Below are 25,530 nucleotides of genomic sequence, written 5' to 3' on the forward strand. Positions count from 1 at the left end.
AAGAGAAAATGTCACTAAAACAGGAGCTATTTTATCTTTTCCCAGAGTTATTCTCCCAGAGTGTATTTTCTAAGAGTTTTTTCCCAGATGGTTTTAGAACGTTTGGCAGTTTCGGTGATATATTCTGTAAAAGCCCTTAGTCTTAATAGGAATAACACATAGTTTTGATTGCCTTAAATTTTAATTGCTTCACTTGGCAAATTTATGTGTAAATTTCATATTCTGTGGTATTTTAATATCTTGCTTGTGGAGAAGAGGAAAAAGAGGAATGAGAGTAATATTCAGTCCTTGCATTGAGCTTTTGCCAAAGAAGTCTAAACAATTTCTAAAATGCCATTCAATAAGGCCATTTTAGAAGTGTTTATATGACTCTTATAACTTTAAAATAAAGAGTCTTGAAGTTAATTAAAACTCACTTTGCTTGTGATGGGTTCTACATAAACATGGCAGATTTAATCAGCCAGAATTAAAAAGTAATTCTATATTACTAAGGAGAAGAAACTGCCACATGACAGTAGTCTCCAAATCTTTCATTTTTGGAGTCTGCCTTTTATGCCTAGATTTTAAAATACTAATTGAAAAAAATATAGTTTACTTCCATTTGTGATTTAATTTTATTTCTAGAAATAAAAATATAGATAGTGTTTCATCTAAAAACTGCTAAACCAGACTTTCATTTTAAGGGCATGGCAGAAATAAGGAAAGACTAACTTGGTTCTATTACTTAACATATTATTTATTCAGGTAGTCACCAAGACCAGAATTTAAAATCTATTCAGTTAACCCATTTAAAGTTGATGTGTTTTACTCCTTTTTTTTTTCTTTTTGTAGTGATCTTTTTAACTGAATTACTGGACATCATGGGGAGTTCTACTCCTCCTATATGGAAACTTAGGCTATCTTACCAAGTTCAATATTCAAAGTTTTTCTTTCTGCCATTAAGTTTGTTTAATTTTATATTAAGCTCAGTTTGTATTATGATATCAAATTCAGCCTGAGGGATTACTTTAAACTTTCCTAGGGTATTTGCAGATTTAATTTGTTCTTACAGTATGTAAATACCAAGAGAGCATTCCATTTAATATTATTTTTATTAAATTAACTTTGGAGTAAAAAGTCCAAGAAAAGCCCTGTACTGAAATCACATGTTTACTAAATCCTGGATTTTCTGTACAGTCCCTACATATTTCTACTTTAAAATTCTTCTGTCTTGTGAAATAATTCATTAAAAGCAGCAGGCAGATGATGACAGGTAAACTTTTTAATGATGTTCTAATGTTGACAATTGCAGTTTTATTTTGCTTGGATCATAATGGCGTGTAAGCAGTTTAGGCCCCAGAATGCCCATAAGTAGAGCTCCATTTGGAGCTGTGATCAAGATGGCTAAAAATGCTACTGTCATCACATCCTTCACATATGGTTCCAAGTGGGGTGCGGAGACTCTTGCTGTTTCTAGAGCCAGAGGACCTAACACAGCCTACATTTAGGGGTAAAAATGGGGCATAAAGAAAAATATTAAACTGAGTTAATATATAATGTAAATGGCTCTGTCAAAATAAACAAAATCTAGTACTAGACTATTAGAAAAAAAAGTACTCAGTAATTTTCATAAGTTACTCATCAGTTCCATGTTCTTCCTAGCAAATATATGTGGAGGAAGAGTACAATAGTGACAAATCAGCATGCAAACATTTTTGGGCTGATTTTGCACTCTTGTCCTCTCAGTGTTCCTCTATTCAAATATCTCTTTTGAGTGTTGCCCTCATAACACCAGGAGTTCTAACGAAACTGGTTTTGCTTAGTTGCCTTTATCGTGTACCAGTGGTTTTTGACTACAAGAAGATAAAATAAAATATTAAGTTTTCTTATGGTTCTCTAGGATTTGTTGCCCTTCTTATCATTGTTCTCCTTATTCAGGGGGCACTGGGTTATAGCAGAACTGACAGCAGGCTTGGAATTTAGCAAACTGAGTTTGAATTCTATTTTTGCTGCAACCAAGCTAGTGACCTTGTACAAATGACTCACACTCTCTAACCTTCTACTTACTTCCGTGTAAAACGAAGAACAAAATACTTATGTTACTGGACGGTTGTGAAAATTAAATATGAGAATGTGAAGAATACCTGGCACAGAGTAGATATTCAGATAGTAGTAAGTTTCTTTCTCCTTCACTCCTCATCCCCTGCCAGGTCAGAGAATGAGTTCCTTTGAAGTTTTTGTTTTAGAATGACTACTGGGTCACAAGTTTTTTCCCTAGTTACCTTCTACCACATTATTTTTAATAACATAAAGCAAATTTCTTGCTAACTCTCTTTCCTTGTGTTTAATAACTAGGCATGAAATTGCCTTAAAATTTGGGGGAATTAAATACCAATATGTAACATATTTTCTATGGAGTTGCAAAGTGACAACATAATGGTAGAAACATTACCTCTGATATGGAAAATTATGGCAAAAGAAGTCCTCAATTTAAGATCAATTTCTATATCCTAAATCAATAATTTAAAATGGTATTATTTTTATATCATAACTTTTAATGTACTGAACATGATCCAGTGTGCTGGAGGATGCTAGGGTGAAAAAAAAAAATCATGCAGAAAACCACCTTGAAAGAATCTTACAGTTTAGAAGAGGATTTGAACATAAAAGAACTGCCAACAGAAAAAAACAAAAACAAAAACCAAACCCATTGATTTTTAAGAGATGATGACGATAATGGTGAAACTAGAAATAATATTTTTATAGTTATATGGCATTCATCATATGTCAGGTATCATTCTTAAAGCTTTCCATTTATCAATTCATTTAATTCTTATGACAACCTTATTATGTGAGAACTTTTATTAGATGATAAATGATTTCCTCCTAGTGACTGAGATTTAATATTATTTCTTTAAAAAAATCCAATTGCCAAGCTGATCTTACATTTGTAAACTAAATTATTTATTTACTCTCCTAGTAGCTTCTATTTTTCCAGTCTAATTTTTATCAGTAACTCGAAACTAAGGAACAAGAGAAAGCTGAACCTTAGCCAATTTTATTTTAGCAGCAGAGAACGGTGGAAGAGGATAAAGGTGAAAATAATTTAAAATTGAAATTTAAATATTTGTTGATCGTATTTACTTGTGACATTATTGTTATCTATTATCGCTGTTGTGACTCTACTTGTATAAATAATTAATTTTTTATGTCTTGCCAGTTCCTGGAACCAGCTTGATATTCTTTGTGTAGAAGCTAGCCTGGAGCCAGCAGACATGAATAGGCAGAAGCAGAATAATACTGCAGGACTCGAGTGAGTGGTCTCTTTCCTCATACCTGCTTTTCTTTTTTCCCTGCTTTATGAAAATTATGAAATAATGAAACAAAATTGCAAGAGTATTGTTGGAAGGAGAGAGAACAGATAAGCCTTTTGTAGATTTATTATTCCCTACAGTAGATATTAAAAATAAAAAGTTATTATTTATATTACTTGAAGGTAAGATAAAATAACAACATTGTTTGTTAACTGAGCACCACCATATGCCAGAGAGAGTGCTAAGCACTTTAAGTGGATTATCTCATTGAATCCTGACAACACTGCTAAGAAACAGATACAGTCATAGACTTCATTGTAAGATGAGAACACTGAAGGACTGAGAGACTAGAAAATAATTTTCCTGAGGTTATAGGCAAGTAACATGGTATTCAAAACAGGTAGTCTGGCCCTAAGAACCTGCTTTTCTAACATGATAATAGGGGTTTTTTTGCATGAAAATTTAGGAGCTTCTGTTTTGGAATAACAACTAAGAAAAGAGCCACAGGAAATTAAGGTATATTATGCTGCCAAGTTAAACAGTCTAACAAGAAGTAGCAATATATTTTAGTAGGAGGAGAATATCCTTGAATAACAGGGCAAAATTACAAGGTTTCCCTTTCCGTTCATTCATCCTTGCAGGCATGCAATACGTATTTGCCTCTTGCATGTCAGGCACTGTGTTAAGTGCCAGGGAGAAATAATGAAAAACAACTGCAACAACCAGACACTGTCCCTGTCCTTACATAGCCTATCAAGGGGGCGGGGGCAGGGATTTAGCCATTAACCAAATAGTATACAAATAAATGTGTAATAAAAAAATATATGTGCATTTGTGTGATGGAGTGAGTGGCAAGGTAGGAAAAGTATTTTTTAAAAAATCAATGTGTCTCTATTTTACTTTACTTTTTTTTGCGACAGGATCTCACTTTGTCACCCAAGCTGGAGTGAAGTGGCATGACCTCAGCTCACTGCAGCCTCAACCTCCCGAGTTCAAGAAATCCTCCTGCCTCAGCCCCCAAGTAGCTGTGACTACAGGTGCGTGCCACCACACCTGACTAATTTTTTTGTATTTCTTGTAGAGACAGGGGTTTTACCATGTTGCCCAGGCTGGTCTTGAACTCCTGAGCTCAAGTGATCTGTCTGCCTCAGCCTCCCGAAGTGCTAGGATTACAGGCATGAGCCACCATGCCTGGCCTGTGTCTCTACTTTTTAAAATCATAACATTTAGCTTTGTTATATTCAGCAAAATATAAAAACTCCAATTTTCAGATATATTCTTATTATATATTTTAGGAAAATAAAAAACATATTTTCATAAACTTAGGAAGTACTTATTGAAAGAATGCTTTTTGATTTCAAAATAATTGCTTTTAAAACTGAGATTTCAAAAGGTTACATTGGCTAGGCCCAGTGGGTTATGCTTGTAATCCCAGAACTTTAGGAGGCTGAGGCAGGAAGATCACTTGAACCTAGGAGTTCAAGATCAGCCTGGGCAACATAGCAAGACCTCCTCTTTACAAAAAAATCAGAAAGAAAAGGCCAGGCGCAGTAGCTCATGCCTGTAATCCCAGCACTTTGGGAGGCTGAGACAGGTGGATCACTTGAGGTCAGGAGTTTGAGACTAGCCTGGCCAACATGGTGAGACCCCATATCTACTAAAAATACAAAAATTAGCTGGGCGTGGTGGTGTGCACCTGTAATCCCAGCTACTGAGGAGGCTGAGGCAGGAGAATCGCTTGAACCTGGGAGGTGGAGGTTGCATTGAGCTGAGATCATGCCACTGCACTCCAGCCTGGACAACAGAGTAAGACTGTCTCAAAAAAAAAAAATCTGAAAAAAAGCAGTTGGGTGTGGTGGCAGGTGACTGTGATCCTAGCTACTCAGGAGGCTGATGTGAGAGGATTGTTTGAGCCCAGGAGGTTGAGGCTGCAGTGAGCCGTGATCATGCCACTGCACTCCAGTTTGGGTGACAGAGTGAGACCTGGTCTCAAAATGAAAATAAAAATAAAAATAGAAAAAGGTTACATTGAGTTTCTTTGTTTGTTTTTGTTTATTTATTTATTTATTTATTTGAGATTGAGTCTTGCTCTGTTGCCAGACTGGAGTACAGTTGTGCCATCTCAACTTACTGCAACCTCTGCCTCCTGGGTTCAAGTGATTCTCCCATCTCAGCCTCCTGAGTAGCTGGGACTGGTTACGTTAATTTTAATGAATAGTTATGATCAATCAAACATTTAAAAAGTAAGGATAATAACTCATATTTTGTGATTGGAGTAACATTTTTCATTTTAAATTTTAAAAGCATCAAAACGAAAGCATTAAGCAATAGGCTTAATATGTTCTTACCTGTACTGTAGCTTTGGGCATCCATGCTAAAGCAATAAATATTTTCTCCTTAAAACTAAAACCAGCAAAGCACATCAATAGATATGTGGTTAAAATTCGAACACATAATGCCAAACTCAGAGTAGCAACAGATATGCCTACAACAGATGAAAACAAACATAAATAACAAAATATTTGTGAAGAAGTGTTCTTTATGCCCAGGAATATGATTTCTAAAACTTTTGAAAGCATTTTAAGGCTATTGTCTCTTCATGTGTTTAATTTTTACATAAAACAATGATAATAAAAAATGAATATGATGGAGGATTCTCTGTAAAGTGCAAGACAGTATCTGATGGTGGAGGTACCATGAAAAATAAGACAGATGACATTTATACAATTCTGAACTAATAGACTTTTTTTGAATATTTTTATTATTATTAATAATAATTTACTTTTTGAGAAGGATTCTTGCTCTGTCGCCCAGGCTGGAGTGCAGTGGTACAATCTCAGCTCACTGCAACTTCCGACTCCCGGGTTCACGTGATTCTCCTGCCTCAGCCTCCTGAGTAGCTGGGATTACAGGCGTGCACTACCACACCTGGCTAATTTTTGTATTTCTAGGAGAGATGGGGTTCCCCATGTTAGCCAGGCAGGTCTTGAACTCCTAACTTCAAGAAATCTGCCCGCTTCAGCCTCCCAAAGTGCTAAGATTACAGGCATGAGCCACCACACCCAGCCAATAGTTTTAAATGAAAGTACTCAAAAAGTGCTGATCGTATCAAATATATTCCCTCAGGAAAGAAATCTTATATTTATTTCCTTAGATAACTCAGGGAAGATATTCAGGGCTGTCCTTGGTTGGTTTAAAAAAAAAAGAGCACACAGTGTAAAGGGAGAGCAATATGAAAATATGATACTGTATCAACATGTGTTTCTGAAGAAGGTCCTTGTAGCCATTCAAAGATATATTGTAAATAAAAATAAATGTATTTATAATTTTCTTAAATATTTTTGAATTTCATATTTTTTGTGCTGTAATTATTCTTACCAAAAATATTTGATTCAAGTGATGAAACAGATACTTCTGCTCCAACTAAACCAAAAAGAAGTGGTTGAAAAATATCCCATACATTTGTAATAATCTTTTGGACTTTCATCTATAGAAAAGAGAAATACATTTATAATTATTTTGGCACATAAATATATTTCAGAAAGTTAAAGTCTCCCTCACCATTTTTTTTTTTTTCACTTTTTAAGTATTTTAGAGATGGGGTCTTGCTCTGTTGCCCAGGCTGGAGTGTAGTGGCATAATCATAGCTCACTGTAGCCTTGAACTCCTGGGCTCAAGTGATCCTCTCACAGTCTCCCAAGTAGAACTACAGTTGTGTACCACCATGCTGGGCTAATTTTTAAATTGTTTATAGAGACGGGGTCTCGCTATATTGCCCAGGATGGTCTAGAACTCCTGTCTTCAAGTGGTCTCTGGCTGTGGCCTCCCAAAGCACTGGCATTATAGACATGAGCCACCATGCCTGGCCTAAAGTCACTTAGCTTTTAATAAATTTAAGACGCTTTATTTTAATAAAAATGTTAAACTTAAATAATAAAAACTGAGCACTTCAATAGTTTTACTCAAACAGGTAGAATTTGATTAAAAGAGACTCACAAAGCAATAAAATAATACTATTTGGCCATTTTGTCACAGAATAAGTGATGTCCTTAGGGTTCTAGCCATGTTTCGTATGAGTTCCAGATTTTGTCTCTAAGTTAACTGAACAGAGATAGAACTACATCATGCCTGATGAGAACATACCGAGTTCATGCAAACATTTGGGTTCTCAGAAGGGGGTTGGGAAGCCTTCCACTAACAACCATCCTGGAACTCAATCCCATTAAAGTGAATCCTGATATATATAGCATATACTACTAGGAAAAACAATTTGGAAGTCTGTAAGGCCTGCTTCCAAAGAACCCATGTTGAATACTTTAAAGTTACTTTTTCCTTAAAACAAAACCAAAATATATATTAGATTCTCATTTAGCTGCCTACCCAGCTTCCCTTTCTGGAAACGAATGCCTCCCAGTGCTACTTCCCCAGTTAAAAGGTTACAGGAAAGGCCCCTATTGGCCTACATTACTCTGGCTCTTCTCCAGGAATTTGGATGAAGAGATTAAACCCAGTCTCAGTCTGGGTTTAATTTTTTTTTAAACAGAAGATACATAAGAACTTTGATGTCTCTTCCTTGAGGCATAAACTATCTTCATAACTATTTCCCTTATGACTGTGTTTTCTGATCCCCACTTATTATAGTTTAAAAAAAGAAAAACAAAGAAAAACGATGTTACTACTCTTTACAGCATAATTATCCTATTTGTTACTTTTAATCTTTAAAACTTGTTTTAGTTCTGTTTCTTTTACCATTTAAAAAAATTCTAGCAGTTTTAATTTTATTTATTGATTTGCATTTCATTCATTTCATTTCTTTTTTAATTATGATTATATAAGAATACTAAGCAAAATGCCACTATGATTTTTGATTAGGGAACTTCTCAAGCTGATTCTAAAATTTATCTAAGAAAGAATATGTGTAGGAACAGCCAAAAAATACTTTAAAAAGAAGAATAATCTATATTAGATTTTGACACATAAAACTGCAGTGATTTAAAACAGTGGTATTGGCATAGAAATAGAGAAGTAGGATTAAATAGACTTCAGAGTTAATATATATGGGAGAATTTAGTTCATGTTAAAAAACTGAATTATTAATGAATTGGTCAATAAATAAACAATTTGGCAAAAAATGACTGTCTAGTTTATGTGCATATATCTGTATGTACATATTCATCACATGCAAGTATATATGTGTGTCTGAATATGTATATATATTATGTGTGTGTATATATACATATATACACACACACATCAGGCATGATGTAGTACTATCTCTGTTCAGTTAACTTACAAACTGTATGTGTGTATGTGTATATATATATATATAGTTTGTAAGATACACATATGTATATATGTATAACCTTACCTTACAGCATTCACAAAGATAAATTCCAGATAGATTAAAAGACTAAATGAAAAAACAAATTAAACAAACAAAAACTACCAAAATATTAAATGATAATACACAAAATAGTATATCTTTGTAATGTTTATATGTTATAATCTTCAGTGAGAAAGTCCTTCTTAAATGAGATGCAGAATCCAAAACCAAAAAAGGAAAACCCAATAGGTTTGGTCATAGGAAATTTTACTTTCATACACCAGACACCATAAACAAAGTTGAAGATAAGCAAAAATTATATCAATATATACATAACAAAGGATCAGTAGCCCTAACACTAAGAGAAACTATAAATTAGAAACAAAAAAATAAATAACCCAATAAAAATGGTCAAAGAAGATCATAGGTATTTTAAAAAGAATATATGAAGAGAAGCTGACTATACTACCAATCAGAGAAATGTAAATAAAGAATAACAACATCACATAATTGTAAGAAACTATAAGAATTGGATGGTGAGGTCATTTAATAGTAAAAAGAATAGAACTAGTGATAATATCAAGTGCTGTTGATGAGTTAAGGTATTAGATATTTTTGTGCACTGTTGGCAGAGTGTAAATAACCAAAATTTTTGGAGGGATAATTTAGCAGTGTCCATCAAAATAAAACACAGATCATTTCCAGCCAGGTGTGGTAGCTCATGCTTGTAATCCTAGCACTTTGCAATGTCAAGTTGGGAGGATCCCTTGAGCTCAGGATTTTGAGACCAGCCTGGGCAACACAGACAGAGACTCTGTCTCAAAAAAAAAAAAAAAAAATCATGTCTGGGACTCTATTCCTACAGATGTACCTGTAATCCCAACACTTTGGGAGGCCGAGGCAGGAGTATCACCTGAGGTCAGGAGGTCAAGACCTGCCTGGCCAACATGGTGAAACCCCGTCTCTACTAAAAATACAAAAATTTGCTGGGCCTGGTGGTGCGCGCCTGTAATCCCAGCTACTAGGGAGGCTGAAATAGAAGAATCACTTGAATCCAGGAGGTGGAGGTTGCAGTGAGCCAAGATTATGCTACTGCACTCCAGCCTGGGTGACAAGAGTGAAACTGTGTCTCAAAAAAAAAAAAAAAAGACATGAACAACACTGTTTATGACAGCACTGTTTGTAAATAACAAAAAGTGGAAACGATCTTAATGTCTATAAATAGAATACTGGTTACTTAAAAAAATGTAAGGGGGTTAGATATTTGACAGTGGTAGGGAATAAAGAAATCTTTTATGTTTTATTCTATATGTTTTATGCTTTTACAAGCATTTCTATTTTTATTATTTATTTGTTTGTTTATTTTTTTGTGTGTGTGTGTGATGGAGTTTTGCACTTGTTGCCCAGGCTGGAGTGCAATGGCATGATCTCGACTCACTGCAGCCTCCACCTCCTGGGTTCAAGCAATGCTCCTGCCTCAGCCTCCTGAGTAGCTGGAATTACAGGTGCCCACCACCAAGCCACCATGCCCAGCTAATTTTTGTATTTTTAGTAGAGATGGAGTTTCAACATGTTGGCCACGCTGGTCTCAAACTCCTGACCCCAGGTGATCTGTCCACCTCGACCTCCCAAAGTCCTGGGATTACAGGCATGAGCCACCGTGCCTGGCCTTTTACAAACATTCTTCATGGATTAATTGTATAATTAAAATTTCAATGAATAAAATAATTAGATTGATATAAGTAATATAATAATATTATATAAAACTTGGGAAAAAGAGAAGCCTGATGTGATTAACTGAACTTCTGATTCCATATTAGTATATTTCTACCTGCTTTTCCTAAATATTTTATTTCCTCAATTGATTCATACACTTTCTTGAGGATAGCAAACCTTTTGGAATATTTTCCAACCAGAATGAGGGGATTTCCTAAATATATGCAAAAAAATTCAGTTGTCTTAGCTTTTAAAATATAGCATATTAAAAATATTCACCTTTTCTTGGGACCATTTTGTCCCTGCAATGAAACTCAACACTAGTGTGCATAATCCTCCAGATCCATGTAAACCAATACGTTGGCTGCCTAAGACAGCAGAAACACACGTAGTCAAAACAAGGAATCCTCTCTTCAATGTAAGTTTTTTCTAGAATTAGATAGATATTTAGAAATTAGTTTATATTAAATATATAAGATTTGACATTATCTATTATATATGTTTGACCCTTTGATATTATGTCTTTAAATGTTATATTAAATGTCTAAAATTTCGATTTTCTTTCTCACCATACATTTTAGCAGACTTACTACCAAGTAACAAAATTTCCGACTAGTAACGTTTCATCTTCTGCCACATCTCTGATACTAGTATCAGTAAAATGGTTAAAGTATTACTTTAAGTGAAGAAGAAAAGAGACCCATAAAATCTCCAGTTTCATATAACATACCCAATGAATTCTTAAAAAATATTTGAATATCTCTTTGGTCAATATGTTACAGCTAAATTTGGATGGAAATTACAGAAATACAAAAGTAATGGCATGTTTTCCTTTAAGGCAGGAAATGGCTAAGTTTGAGTGTTGCCTTTGTCAAAGGATAGCAGGAGTGAATTTCAGTCAGAAAATATGAAGAAATAAATGGGAACCTATCTCCCCCTAAAATGTTTAAGGGAAAATTTGGGGGAAATTATCAAACATCAATAGGCAATTTAGTAGAGAAAGGGAAAGTATAATTCAGAGGGATACTCTGCATTAAGTATATTTTTTGACATTCCTTATTTGCCAAATCAGGAAGCAGAGACTTTAATCAAAGCCATTGACCTGTATCAATCACTGCTGTGCTCAGTTTTAAATACAGAGTAGGCATTGGAGGCTAGTTTTAGAAAAATAGGGTTAAGTATTAAATTTCATGGATCTTACCAAAGTTTAATATTTTGAAAAAAATGTCTAATACTATACTTCTATAAAATAGATTTTGTGTTCACCTGGTCTTCACTTGGAAAATATCGAACAAAAAAATCCCAAAACAATTCCTGCCAGCAGACTAATACATACGTTCCTTATAGAGGCTATGGCGTTATTAAGCATACCACCTGTAGGGGCACACAATAAAAAAAAAAATTCACAAAGAAACATTTTCACATACACTACACATCAGAAAAACAAATCTAGGTGGTTCATGAAGAAAAGTAAGCATTTTATAGAACAAATATATGCAAATGGTCTTTTTATAATGACATGTATGAAAACATGTAGATCTATTTAGTACATTAAAAATATGCTCTCAAATAATTTAATATATACACACAACTCAGAAATGTCCATTATATAAATAGGCAAGAAAACAAAGACTTAACAAGCACAAGATGCTCCCCTTACATTAGCCAATTTAAAAGACAGAGTGAGGTAGTCCGGGTGCAGTGGCTCATGTCTGTAATCCCAGCGCTTTGGGAGGCTGAGGAGGGTGGATTACTTGAGGTCAGGAGTTGAAGACCAGCCTGGCCAACATAATGAAACCCCATCTCTACTAAAAATACAAAAATTAGGTGGGCCTGGTGGCACACAACTGTGGTCCCAGGTACTCAGGAGGCTGAGGGAGGAGAATCACTTGAACCTGGGAGGCAGAGGTTGCGTGAGCTGAGATCGTGCCACCACACTCCAGCCTGGGTGAAAGATGAAGGCTACACCTCCAAAAGAAAAAAAAAAAAAGACCAAGTGAGGTACAAGAATGGAGAGAGACCGAAACACTTGTGGCACTTAGCATATGGCTGGTAAGGGCTATATTAACAATTCTTCTTTGATGTACTATATGAAAAAGAAACAAATGATTTTAACATGAAAAGAACAATGTAATAACAACATGAAAAATTTTGTTCCAGGGTCAGTCCTAGAAACACTCAAGGGTCATTTAAGATTTCAGTGTATTTAAGTTTCTGCTTTTGGTGAAGAAAAAAGGAAAAAAAATACAAAAGATTCCAGTATATTTTATATTAATTAATATTAATATATCCATACTTGTAGTTCATTGTAATAAGTAAAAAGCAAAAAACAAAAAAACAGAATGAGTCACAAAAATAGTTCAGTTAAGCTCTGGGTAGTGGATTCAATATAGTACGTAAGTATATTTTTAGATATATTTTCTACTAAATATAACAGGCAGCGCATGGTGGGCTCACACCTTTAATCCCAGCACTTTGGGAGGCCAAGGCAGAAGGATTGCTTGAGCCCAAGAGTTGAGACCAACTTGGGCAACAGAGTGAAACCCCATCTTCACAACAAAATAAGAAATTAGCCCGGTATGTGGTGTGTGCCTATAGTCCAAGTACTCAGTAGCCTGAGGGAGGAGGTCCCTTGAGCTCAGGAGTTCGAGGCTGCACTCTAGCCTGGCTGACAGAGTAAGATCCTGTCTCAAGAAAATAAAATATAATAAAAATAAAAAATAATATAAACAGAGTGATGTCAGCCAGGTGGTGGAATGGGAAGCTCCAAACCTTGATTCTCCATAAAGATACCAACTGAAAAACTACATATGGTCTAAAAGCCTTTATGGAGTTCCATAAACCATTAAGAAGTTGTAGTAGCACAGACAAGTGCAAAGCCAAGAATAGTGGCATTGAACAAATAAGAAAAGCTGTTGCATTATACTCATGATACCCCTTCCCCAAGCTCGAACAGGTTGGTTTGGCTGGGAAGCACTGAACTTGCAGCTTCTCCGTTAGCAGGGAAAGAGAAGACTGGAATGGAATAGTTTTATGAGGTTACCTGAAGCTCTCTCTCTCTCTAACTTGACGCCCAACTGGCATACTTTGGATGCATGGGAGCCACTGGGAATAAAGGAGAGGTCAGAGATGATGCAGCACCAGGGAACCTGCAGTACCACAGACAGATACCAGAGGGAGCAACAGCTCCAGAAAAAGAAACTGGCAAACCTCTACTTGGGATGTTGCAATGTATAAACCCAAAGAAGATGCATTCCCAGAAAAAGTTTGAGAGGCTGCTGGAACCTATAGCCATGCTGATTCAGGTATGAAGGTCTTCCATATGAAGCCAGCTGAGAAAAACTGGGATAAGTGGCAGTTTTTTCAAACACCCAAATCTGGGCAAAAATAAATAAAAAATAACAAGACATAAGAAGAAACAGAGAAACCCGATGACTAAATTAAAGGAGCAAAATAAATCTCCAGAAACCAACCCTAAAGGAATAGATAAATGAGTTACCTGACAAAGAATCCAAATTAACTCTCTTAATGAAGCCCAGTGACAACAGAAATAGACAACTAAGTGAAAGCAGGAAATAATTCAGAACAAAATGAAAATATTAACAGAGATAGAAACTAAAAAAAAAAAAAAAGGAACCATACAGAGACTCTGGAGCTAAGGAATGCAATAGCTCAATTGAAAAATTCACTATCGGAAATCATCAATAGACTGTGTAACTGCCCAATGGGTTCACCTCATGCCCTGCTTAGACAGAGCTGATTTATCAAGACAGGGGAATTGCAATGGAGAAAGAGTAATTCAGGTAGAGCCGGCTGTGCGGGAGATCAGAGTTTTATTATTCCTCAAATCAGTCTCCCTGAGCATTCGGGGATCAGAACTTTTAAAGATAATTTGGCAGGTAGGGGCTTGGGAAGTGGGGACTGCTTATTCATCAGGTTGGAGATGAAATCATACAGGGTTGAAGTGATGTTTTCTTGCTGTCTTCTGTTTGTGGGTGGGGTGGCAGAACTAGTTGAGCCATATTACCAGTCTGGGTGGTGTCAGCTGATTCATCCAGTGCAGGGTCTGCAAAATATCTCAAGCACTGATTTTAGGTTTTACAATAGTGATGTTATCCCCAGGAGCAATTTGGAGAGGTTCAGACTCTTGGAGCCAAGGCTGCATAACCCCTCAACTGTAATTTCTAATGTTGTAGCTAATTTGTTTATCCTGCAAAGGCAAACTGGTTCCAGGCAAGAAGGGGATCTTTTTGGGAAATGGCTATTATCAACTTTGTTTCAGAGTCAAACCATGAACTGAATATCTTCCCAAAATTAGTTCATCCTACTGCCAGGAATGAACAAGGACAGTTTAAACGCTAGAAGCAAGATGCAGTTGATTAAGTCTGATGTCTTTTGCTGTCATAATTTCTTCAGTTATAATTTTTGCAAAGGCAGTTTCAATAACATCAAGCAGAAGAAAGAATCAGTGAAATGGAAGACTAGTCATTTGAAATTATGGAGTCAGAGGAGCAAAAGGGAAAAGGAGTGAAGAGTGAAGACAGCCTAAGAGACTTACAGGATGCCATCAAGCAGACCAATGTATGCATTATGAAAGTGCCAGAAGGAGAAGAGAAAAATAAAGGGGCAGAGAGCCAGTTAAAAAAATAATGACCAAAAACTTCTCAAACTTAAAGAAGGAAATGGACATACAAATCCAAGAGGCTCAAAGAACTCCAAGTTGGATAATTTGCAAAAGACCTACAATGAGACACATTACAATCAAACTGTCAAAAGTCAAAGACAAAGAGAGAATTTTGAAAGGAACAGGATCAAAGCAACTTGTCACATACAAGGGAGATGCCATATGGTTATCAATGGAATTCTCAGCAAAAACTCTACAGGCCAGAAGAGAATGGGATGATATATTAAAAGGGCTGAAAGAAAAAAAAAAAACTGTCAGCCAAGAACTGTATAGCCAGTAAAACTGTATTTCAAAAATGAAAGACAAACAAAGAGTTCCCCAGAGAAGTAAAAGGTGAGGGAGTTGATCACCACTAGACCTACCTTACAAAACATGTTAAAGGGAGTCCTCCAAGTGGAAATGAAAAGGCATTGGATAGAAATGCAAAAGCATACAAAATATAAACTTCTTTGGTAAAGGTAAATATATGAGTGAACATAGAATCCTTTAATACCCTAATGGTGGTAAGCAAAACACTTTTTTTCCTTTACTTTTTTTTTTTGAGACAAAGTCTTGCTCTGTTGCCCAGGCTGGAGTGCAGTGGTTTGATCACGGCTCACTGCAGCCTTGCAGTCCTGGGCTAAAGTAATCCTCCCACCTCAGCCTCCCGAGTGGCTGGGACTACAGACATGCACCACCACACTCAGATAATATTTTTAAATTTTTAGCAGAGATAAGGCCTTGCTGGTCTCAAACTCCTAGGATCAAGTGATCCTCCCATTTGGCCTCTCAAAGTGCTGGGACTACAGGTATGAGACACCACACCCAGCCTGTAATTCACTTTTAATTGAAGCATAGAATTTAAAAGGTAAAAGCATAATATTACTGTATTAAATGATGTGAATAAACAATATAAAATATATAGTGTGACATTGATAACAAAGTGAGAAGGAGGTGTAAAGACGTAGAGTTTTTGTATGTGATTAAAGTTAAGTTGTTGTCAATTTAAAATAGATTATTATAACTATAAGATGTTTTCATGTAATTCTACAGTAACCACAAAGAAAAGACCTACAGAAGATACACAAATAAAAATGAGAAAGGAACCAAAGCAAGTCCCTACCAAAAAAAGAAATCAGTGAAACATAAAGGGAGGCAGAAAGAGAGGAAAAGTGGAAAAAAATATCTGCAAGACATGTATAAAACAATGAACAAAATGACAATAGTAAGCCCCTCCCTATCAGTAACTACTTTAAATGCAAATAGGCTAATTTTCCAATCAAAAGACAGAGAATTGGCCGAATGGATTAAAAAAATCTAAATATATACTATATGCAAGAGACTTATGTTAGATCTAAATATGCACAAAGGTTGAAAGTGAAAAGATGGAAAAAGATATTCAATGCCTTTGGTAACCAAAAGAGAACAAGGATGGCCATACTTAGACAAAATAGAGTTTAAGTCAAATAATAGCACAAGAGACAAGGATATTACATAATAATAAAACGGCCAATTGACCAAGAAGATATAGCAATTATAAATGTATATGCAACTAACAGTACAGCATCTAAATGTATGAAGCTAACATAGACAGAATTGAGGGGTAACATAGATAACAACATCATAATAACAGAAAACTTCAATATTCCACTTTCAATTATGGATACAATAACCAGACAGATCAACTGGAAAACACAGAACTTGAACAACATTGTAGACCAATTGGACCTGTCTGACATATACAGAACACTTCACCCAATAATAGCAAAATATGCTTTCTTCTCAAGTACATACCAAGACTTTTCCAGCATAGATGGCATGCTAGTCCACAAACAAGTTTTTAAAAATTTAAGAAAACTGAACTCATACCAAATATCTTTTCTGACCACATTAAATGAAATTACAAATTCATAGCAGAAGGAAAAAGGAAAAGTAATAAATATGTGGAAATTACAAAAATATACTCTCTTAACCAATTGGCCTGTGTGGTTAATATTAATTGTCAATTTGATTGAGGGATGCTTAGATGCCTGATGAAGCACTGTGTGTGGGTATATCTGTGAGGGTGCTGCCACAGGAGAATGATGGATGAGTTAGTGGACTGAGAGAGAAAAACCCATCCTCACTGTGGGTAGGCATCATGCAATTGGTTGCAAGTGTGACTAGAACAAAAAGGCAGAAGAATGGGAACATTCAGCTTGCTTGGATTTCTTTTTTATGCACTTTCTCTCCCTTCCAGAGCAGTAAGCCTTTTTCTCCTCTTGCCCTTGCACATCAAACTCTAGGTTCTTTGGCCTTTGGACCCTGGAACTTACATCAGCAGCCTTTTGGGAGCTCTCAGGCCTTGGGCCTCAGACTAGTGGCTGCACTGTCAGCTTCCCTGGTTTTGAGACTTTCAGATTTGGACTGAGCCATGTCACTGGCTTCCTTGGGAGCCATGCTGTAGGCTTCTCTCATTTTCCAGCTTATAGATGGCCTATTGTGGGACTTTGCCTTTGTAATTATGTGAGCCAATTCTCCTTAATAAATTATATTTCATATATATGTAAATATATTCTCTTTTAGATGCATGTATATGTATCTATATCTATTATCTATATCTATATCTATATCTATATTTCCTATTAGATCTGACCCTCTGGAGAACTCTGATTAATACATAGTCAAAGAATAAGTCACAAGGAAAATTGGAAAATGTCTTGAGACAAATAAAAATGGAAACACAACATTCCAAAGCTTGTGGGATGCAGCAAAATTAATATGAAGAGGACAGTTTATATATCTAACTACCTACCTTAAAAAAGAAGATCTAAAATCAGCAACTTAGCTTTACACCTCAAGAAACTGGAAAAAGAAGAACTCAACCCAATGTTAGCAAAAGGAAGGAAATAATAAAGTCTAGAGCAGAAGGCCGGGTGCAGTGGCTCACGACTGTAATCCGAGCACTTTGGGAGGCCGAGTCAGGTGGATCACCTGACGTTGGGAGTTCGAGACAAGCCTCAGCAACATGGAGAAACCTGTCTCTACTAAAAAATACAAAATTAGCCGGGCATGGTGGTGCATGCCTGTAATCCCAGCTACTCTGGAGGCTGAGGCGGGAGAGTCACTTGAACTGGGAGGCGGAGGTTGCAGCGAGCGGCGATCACGCCTTTGCACTACAGCCTGGGCAATAAGAGCGAAACTCCTTCTCAAAAAAAAAAAGGCTAGAGAATAGAAAAAAAACCCAATGAAACTAGTAGTTGTTTCAAAGTTCAACAAAACTGACAAATCATTATCTAGAATATTTAAGAAAAAAAATAAAGAAGACTCAACTTCTTTTAGGATCAAAGAGAAGACACTGCAACAGATATTACAGAAATAAAAAGGATTCTAAGAGTCTACTATGAATGATTATATACTGACAAGTTGGATAACCTAGGAGAAATGAACAGATTCCTAGTAACATGCAAGTTACGAAGACTAAGTCACAAAATAAAAAATCTTAATAAACCTATAACTAGTAACTGAATCAGGAATCAAAAACCTCCCAGCAAACCAAATACCTGATAAGGGGTTAATATCTAAAATATTTACAGAACAACAACTCAATAACAAAACAACCTAAATGGGAAATGGTCAGTTGACTTTGCTATGGTCCAAATGTTCTCCCAATATTCATATGCTGGAGCCTAATATTCAATGTGATAATATTAAGAGGTGGGGCATTTTGGAGATGATTAGTTCATGAAGTCATAGCCCTCAGAAATGGGACTAGGGCCTTTATAAAAGAGGCTTAAGGGAGTTTGTTTTCCCTTTTGAACATGTGAGGACACAGAGAAGGTGCTATGTATAGTGAATATAGTGACCTCACCAGTCACTGAGTCTGTTGTAGCCTAAATCTTGGACTTCTCACACTCCAGAACGCAATAAATAAATTTCTGTTGTTTATAAATTACCAGCCTAAGGTGTTTTGTTATAGCAGCAGGAGTGGACTAAGATAGACTTGAATAGACATTTTTTCCAAAAAAAAAATACAAATGGCCAACTAGCATATCAACCCAACACTACATGGAAGCTGCCAAGGCTTGGGGATTGAACTCTGAAGCAATAGCCTGAGCTGCACGTTGGCTCCTTTTAACCATGGCTGGGACACAGGACACCAAGTCCCAAGACTGCACAGAGCAGCAAAGTTCTGGGCCTGGCCCACAAAACCATTTTTTCCCTCCTAGGCCTCCAACTCTGTGACGGGAGGGGCTGTCATGAAGAACTCTGACATGCCCTGGAGACAATTTCCCCATTATCTTGTCAATCAACATTTGGCTCCTTGTTACTTCTGCAAATTTCTGCAGTCAGCTTGAATTTCTCCCCAGAAAATGGGTTTTCTTTTCTATCACATCATCAGGCTGCAAATCTTCCAAACTTTTATGCTCAGCTCCCTTTTAAACATAAGTTCTAATTCAAAACCATATTTTTGTGAATGCATAAAACTGCACACTTTTAAGAGCACTCAGGTCATAAATTGAACACTTTGCTGCTTACAAATTTCTTCTACCAGATGTCCTGGATGAGTTCCAAGATGGCCAAATAGGAACAGTTCCGGTCTGCAGCTCCCAGCATGATCGACAGAGAAGATGGGTGATTTCTGCACTTCCAACTGAGGTAACTGGTTCATCTCATTGGGACTGGTTGGAGAGTGGGTGCAGGCCCACAGAGGGTGAGCTGAAGCAGGATGGGGCGTCGCCTCACCTGGGAAGCACAAGGGGTTGGGGGATTTCCCTTACCTAGCCAAGGGAAGCTGTGACAGACTACCTGGAAAAACAGGGCACTCCCGCCCAAATACTGCACTTTTCCCAAGGTCTTAGCAACTAGCAGACAAGGTGATTCTCTCCTGTGCCTGGCTCAGTGGGTCCCACACCCATGGAGCCTTGCTCACTGCTAGCGAAACAGTCTGAAATCCATCTGCGAGGTGGCAGCCTGGCTGGGGGAGGGGCGTCCACCATTGCTGAGGCTTAAGTAGGTAAACAAAGCGGCCAGGGAAGCCTGAACTGGGTGGAGCCCACCACAGCTTGACAAGGCCCGTTGCCTCTAGACTCCACGTCTGTGGGTGGGGATAGCTGAACAAAAGGCAGCAACTTCTGCAGACTTAAATATCCCTGTCTGACAGCTCTGAAGAGAGCAGTGGTTTTCCCAGCATGGCGTTTGAGTTCTGAGAATGGACAGACTGCCTCCTCAAGTGGGTCCCTGACCCCTGTGTAGCCTAACTGGGACACACCTCCCAGTAGGAGCTGACAGACACCTCATATAGGCGGCTGCCCCTCTTGGACGAAGCTTCCAGACGAAGGATCAGGCAGCAATATTTGCTGTTCTGCAATATTTGCTGTTTTGCAGCCTCCACTGGTGATACCGAGGCAAACAGTGTCTGGAGTGGAACTCCAGCAAACTCCAACAGATCTGCAGCTGAGGGTCCTGACTGTTAGAAGGAAAACTAAAAAACAGAAAGGAATAGTGTCAACATTAACAAAAGATCATCTACACCAAAACCCCATCTGTAGGTCAACAATATCAAAGACCAAAGGTAGATAAAACCAAAAGGATGGGGATAAACCAGAGCACAAAAGCTGAAAATACTAAAAATCAGAGCACCTCTTCTCCTCCAAAGGATCACAGCTCCTTGTCAGCAATGGAACAAAGCTGGACGGAGAATGACTTTGACGAGTTGACAGAAGTAGGCTTCAGAAGGTTGGTAATAACAAACGTCTCCAAGCTAAAGGAGGATGTTGGAACCCATTGCAAGGAAGCTAAAAACCTTGAAAAAAGATTAGACGAATGGCTTACAAGAATAAACAGTGTAGAGAGGACCTTAAGTGACCCAATGGAGCTGAAAACCATGGCACGAGAACTTTGTGACGCATGCACAAGCTTCAATAGCCAATTCAATCAAGTGGAAGAAAGGGTATCAGTGATTGAAGATCAAATAAATGAAATAAAGTGAGAAGACAAGGTTAGAGAAACAAGAGTAAAAAGAAATGAAGAAAGCCTCCAAGAAATATGGGACCATGTGCAAAGACCAAATATATATTTGATTGGTGTACCAGAAAGTGATGAGGAGAATGGAACCAAGTTGGAAAACACTCTTCAGGATATTATCCAGGAGAACTTCCCCAACCTAGCAAGGCAGGCCAACATTCAACTTCAGGAAATACAGAGAACAACACAAAGATACTCTTTGAGAGGAGTGATTCCAAGACACATAATTGTCAGATTCACCAAGGTTGAAGTGTAGGAAAAAGTGTTAAGGGCAGCCAGAGAGAAAGGTCAGGTTAGCCACAAAGGGAAGCCCATCAGACTAACAGCTGATCTCTTGGCGGAAACCCTACAATCCAGAAGAGAGTGGGGGCCAATATTCAACATTCTTAAAGAAAATAATTTTCAATCCAGAGTTTCATATCCAGCCAAACTAAGATTCATAAGTGAAAGAGAAAATAAAATTCTTTACTGACAAGCAAATGTTGAGAGATTTTGTCACCACCAGGCCTGCCTTACAAGAGCTCCTGAGGGAAGCACTAAACATGGAAAGAAACACCCGGTAACAGCCAGTGCAAAAACATGCCAAGTTGTAAAGACCATCAATGCTAGGAAGAAACTGCATCAATTAACAGGCATATAACCAGCGAATATCATAATGACAGGATCAAATTCACACATAACAATATTAACTGTAAACGTAAATGGGCTAAATGCCCCAATTAAAGGACACAGACTGGCAAATGGGATAAAGAGTCAAGATCCATCAGTGTGCTGTATTCAGGAGACCCATCTCATGCGCAAAATCACACATAGGCTCAAAATAAAGGGATGGAGGAAGATCTACCAAGAAAATGGAAAACAAAAAAAGGCAGGGGTTGCAATCCTTGTCTCTGATAAAACAAACTTTAAACCAACAAAGATCAAAAGAGACAAAGAAGGCCATTACATAATGGTAAAAGGATCAATGCAACAAGAAGAGCTAACTATCCTAAATATATATGCACCCAATACAAGAGCACCCAGATTCATAAAGCAAGTCCTTAGAGACCTACAAAGAGACTTAGACTCCCACACAATAATAATGGGAGACTTTAACACCCAACTGTCAGTATTAGAAAGATCAAGACAGAAGGTTAACAAAGATATACTGGACCTGAACTCAGCTCTGCAACAAATAGACCCAATAGACATCCACAGAACTCTCCACCCCAAATCAACAGAGTATACATTCTTCTCAGCACCACATCTCACTTATTCTAAATTTGACCACATAATTGGAAGTAAAGCACTCCTCACCAAATGTAAAAGAACAGAAATCACAACAAACTGTCTCTCAGACCACAGTGCAATCAAATTCGAACTTAGGATTAAGAAGCTCACTCAAAACTGAACAACTACATGGAAACTGAACAATTTGCTCCTGACTAACTACTGGGTAAATAAAAAAATGAAGGCAGAAATAAAGATGTTCTTTGAAACCAATGAGAACAAAGACACAATGTACCAGAATCTCTGGGACACATTTAAAGCAGTGTGTAGGGGGAAATTTATAGCACTAAATGTCCAGAAGAGAAAGCAGGAAAGATCTAAAATTGACCCCCTAACATCACAATTAAAAGAACTAGAGAAGCAAGAGCAAACACATTCAAAAGCTGAGAGAAGGCAAAAAATAAGATCAGAGCAGAGCTGAAGGAGACAGAGACACAAAAAAACCCTTCAAAAAAGCAATGAATCCAGGAGCTGGTTTTTTGAAAAGATCAACAAAATTGATAGACTGTTAGCAAGACTAATAAAGAAGAAAAGAGAGAGGAATCAAATAGATGCAATAAAAATGATAAAGGGGATATCACCACTGAGCCCAGGGAAATAAAAACTACCATCAGAGAATACTATAAACACCTCTACACAAATAAACTTGAACATCTAGAAGAAATGGATAAATTCTGGGACACATACACCCTTGCAAGACTAAACCAGGAAGAAGTTGAATCTCTGAATAGTTCAATAACAGGCTCTGAAATTGAGGCAATAATTAATAGCCTACCAACCAAAAAAAAGTCCAGGACCAGATGGATTCACAGCTGAGTTCTACCAGAGGTACAAAGAGGAGATGGTACCATTCTTTCTGAAACTTTTCCAATCAATAGAAAAAGACAGAATCCTCCCTAATTCATTTTATGAGGCCAACATCATCCTGATACCAAAGCCTGACAGAGACACAACAACAAAAAGAGAGAATTTTAGACCAATATCCCTGATGAACATTGATGCAAATATCCTCAATAAGATACTAACAAACTGAATCCAGCAGCACATCAAAAAGCTTATCCACCATGATCAAGTTGGCATCCCTAGCGTGCAAGACTGGTTCAACATATGCAAATCAATAAATGTAATCCAGCATATAAACAGAACCAAAGACAAAAAACACATGATTATCTTAACAGATGCAGAAAAAGCCTTTGACAAAATTCAACAGCCCTTCATGCTAAGAACTCTCAATAAACTAGGTATTGATGGGACGTATCTCAAATAATAAGAGCTATTTATGACAAACCCACAGCCAATATCATACTGAATGGACAATAACTGGAAGCATTCCCTTTGAAACCTGGCACAAGACAAGGATTCCCTCTCTCACCACTCCTATTCAACATAGTCTTGGAAGTTCTGGCCAGGGCAATCAGGCAAGAGAATGAAATAAAGGGTATTCAATTAGGAAAAGAGGAAGTCAAATTGTGCCTGTCTGCAGATGACATGATTGTATATTTACAAAACCCCATCATCGCAGCCCAAAATCTCCTTAAGCTGATAAGCAACTTCAGCAAAGTCTCAGGATACAAAATCAATGTGCAAAAATCACAAGCATTCCTATACACCAATAACAGACAAACAGAGAGCCAAATCATGAGTGAACTCCCATTCACAATTGCTTCAAAGAGAATAAAATACCTAGGAATCCAACTTACAAGGGACGTGAAGGACCTCTTCAAGGAGAACTACAAACCACTGCTCAGCAAAATAAAAGAGGACACAAACAAATGGAAGAACATTCCATGCTCATGGATAGGAAGAATCAATATCATGAAAATGACCATACAGCCAAAGGTAATTTATAGATTCAATGCCTTCCCCATCAAGATACCAATGACTTTCTTCACAGAATTGGAAAAAACAACTTTAAAGTTCATATGGAACCAAAAAAGAACCTGCATTGCCAAGTCAATCCTAAGCAAAAAGAACAAAGCTGGAGGCATCACACTACCTGACTTCAAACTACACTACAAGGCTACAGTCACCAAAACAGCATGGTACTGGTGCCAAAACAGAGATACAGACCAATGAAACAGAATAGAGCCCTCGGAAATAATACCACACATCTACAACCATCTGATCTTTGACATAAACAAGAAATGGGGAAAGGATTCCCTATTTAATAAACGGTGCTGGGAAAACTGGCTAGCCATATGTGGAAAGCTGAAACTGGATCCCTTCCTTACACCTTATATAAAAATTAATTCAAGATGGATTAAAGACTTAAATGTCAAACCTAAAACCATAAAAACCCTAGAAGAATACCTAGGCAATACCATTCAGGACATAGTCATGGGCAAGGAATTCATGACTAAAACACCAATAGCAATGGCAACAAAAGCCAAAATTGACAAATGAGATCTAATTAAATTCAAGAGCTTCTGCACAGCAAAAGAAACTACCATCAGAGTGAACAGACAACCTACAGAATGGGAGAAAATTTTTACAATCTACCCATCTGACAAAGGGCTAATATCCAGAATCTACAAAGAACTTAAACAAATTTATATGAAAAAATCAAACTACCCCATCAAAAAGTGGACAAAGGGTATGAACAGACACTTCTCAAAAGAAGACATCTATGCAGCCAACAGACACATGAAAAAATGCTCATCATCACTGGCCATCAGAGAAATGCAAATCAAAACCACAGTGAGATACCATCTCACACCAATTAGAATGGCGATCATTAAAAGGTCAGGAAACAACAGGTGCTGGAGAGGATATGGAGAAATAGGAACACTTTTACACTGTTGGTGGGAGTGTAAACTAGTTCAATCATTGTAGAAGACAGTGTGGCAATTCCTCAAGGATCTAGAACTAGAAATACCATTTCACCCAGCCATCCTATTACTGGGCATACACCCAAAGGATTGTAAATCATGCTGCTATAAAGACACATGCACACGTATGTTTATTGCGGCACTATTCACAATAGCAAAGACTTGGAGCCAACCTAAATGTCCATCAATGATAGACTGGATTAAGAAAATGTGGCACATATACACCATGGAATACTATGCAGCCATAAAAAGGATGAGTTCATGTCCTTTGTAAGGACATGGATGAAGCTAGAAACCATCATTCTGAGAAAACTATTGCAAGGACAGAAAACTAAACACCACATGTTCTCACTCATAGGTGGGAATTGAACAATGAGAACATTTGGACACAGGGTGGGGAACATCACATGCTGGGGCCTGTCATGGAGTGGG

At 37.2% G+C, this 25,530-nt stretch overlaps 1 pseudogene; it reads right to left on the minus strand.

Moving 5' to 3' along the window:
- SLC9B1P4 (solute carrier family 9 member B1 pseudogene 4) overlaps positions 1,073–25,530 on the minus strand; it is a 48,121-nt pseudogene continuing 23,663 nt past the window's right edge.

Source organism: Homo sapiens, chromosome 22, assembly GCF_000001405.40.
Source record: "Homo sapiens chromosome 22, GRCh38.p14 Primary Assembly".
NCBI classification, from domain to species: Eukaryota; Metazoa; Chordata; class Mammalia; order Primates; family Hominidae; genus Homo; species Homo sapiens.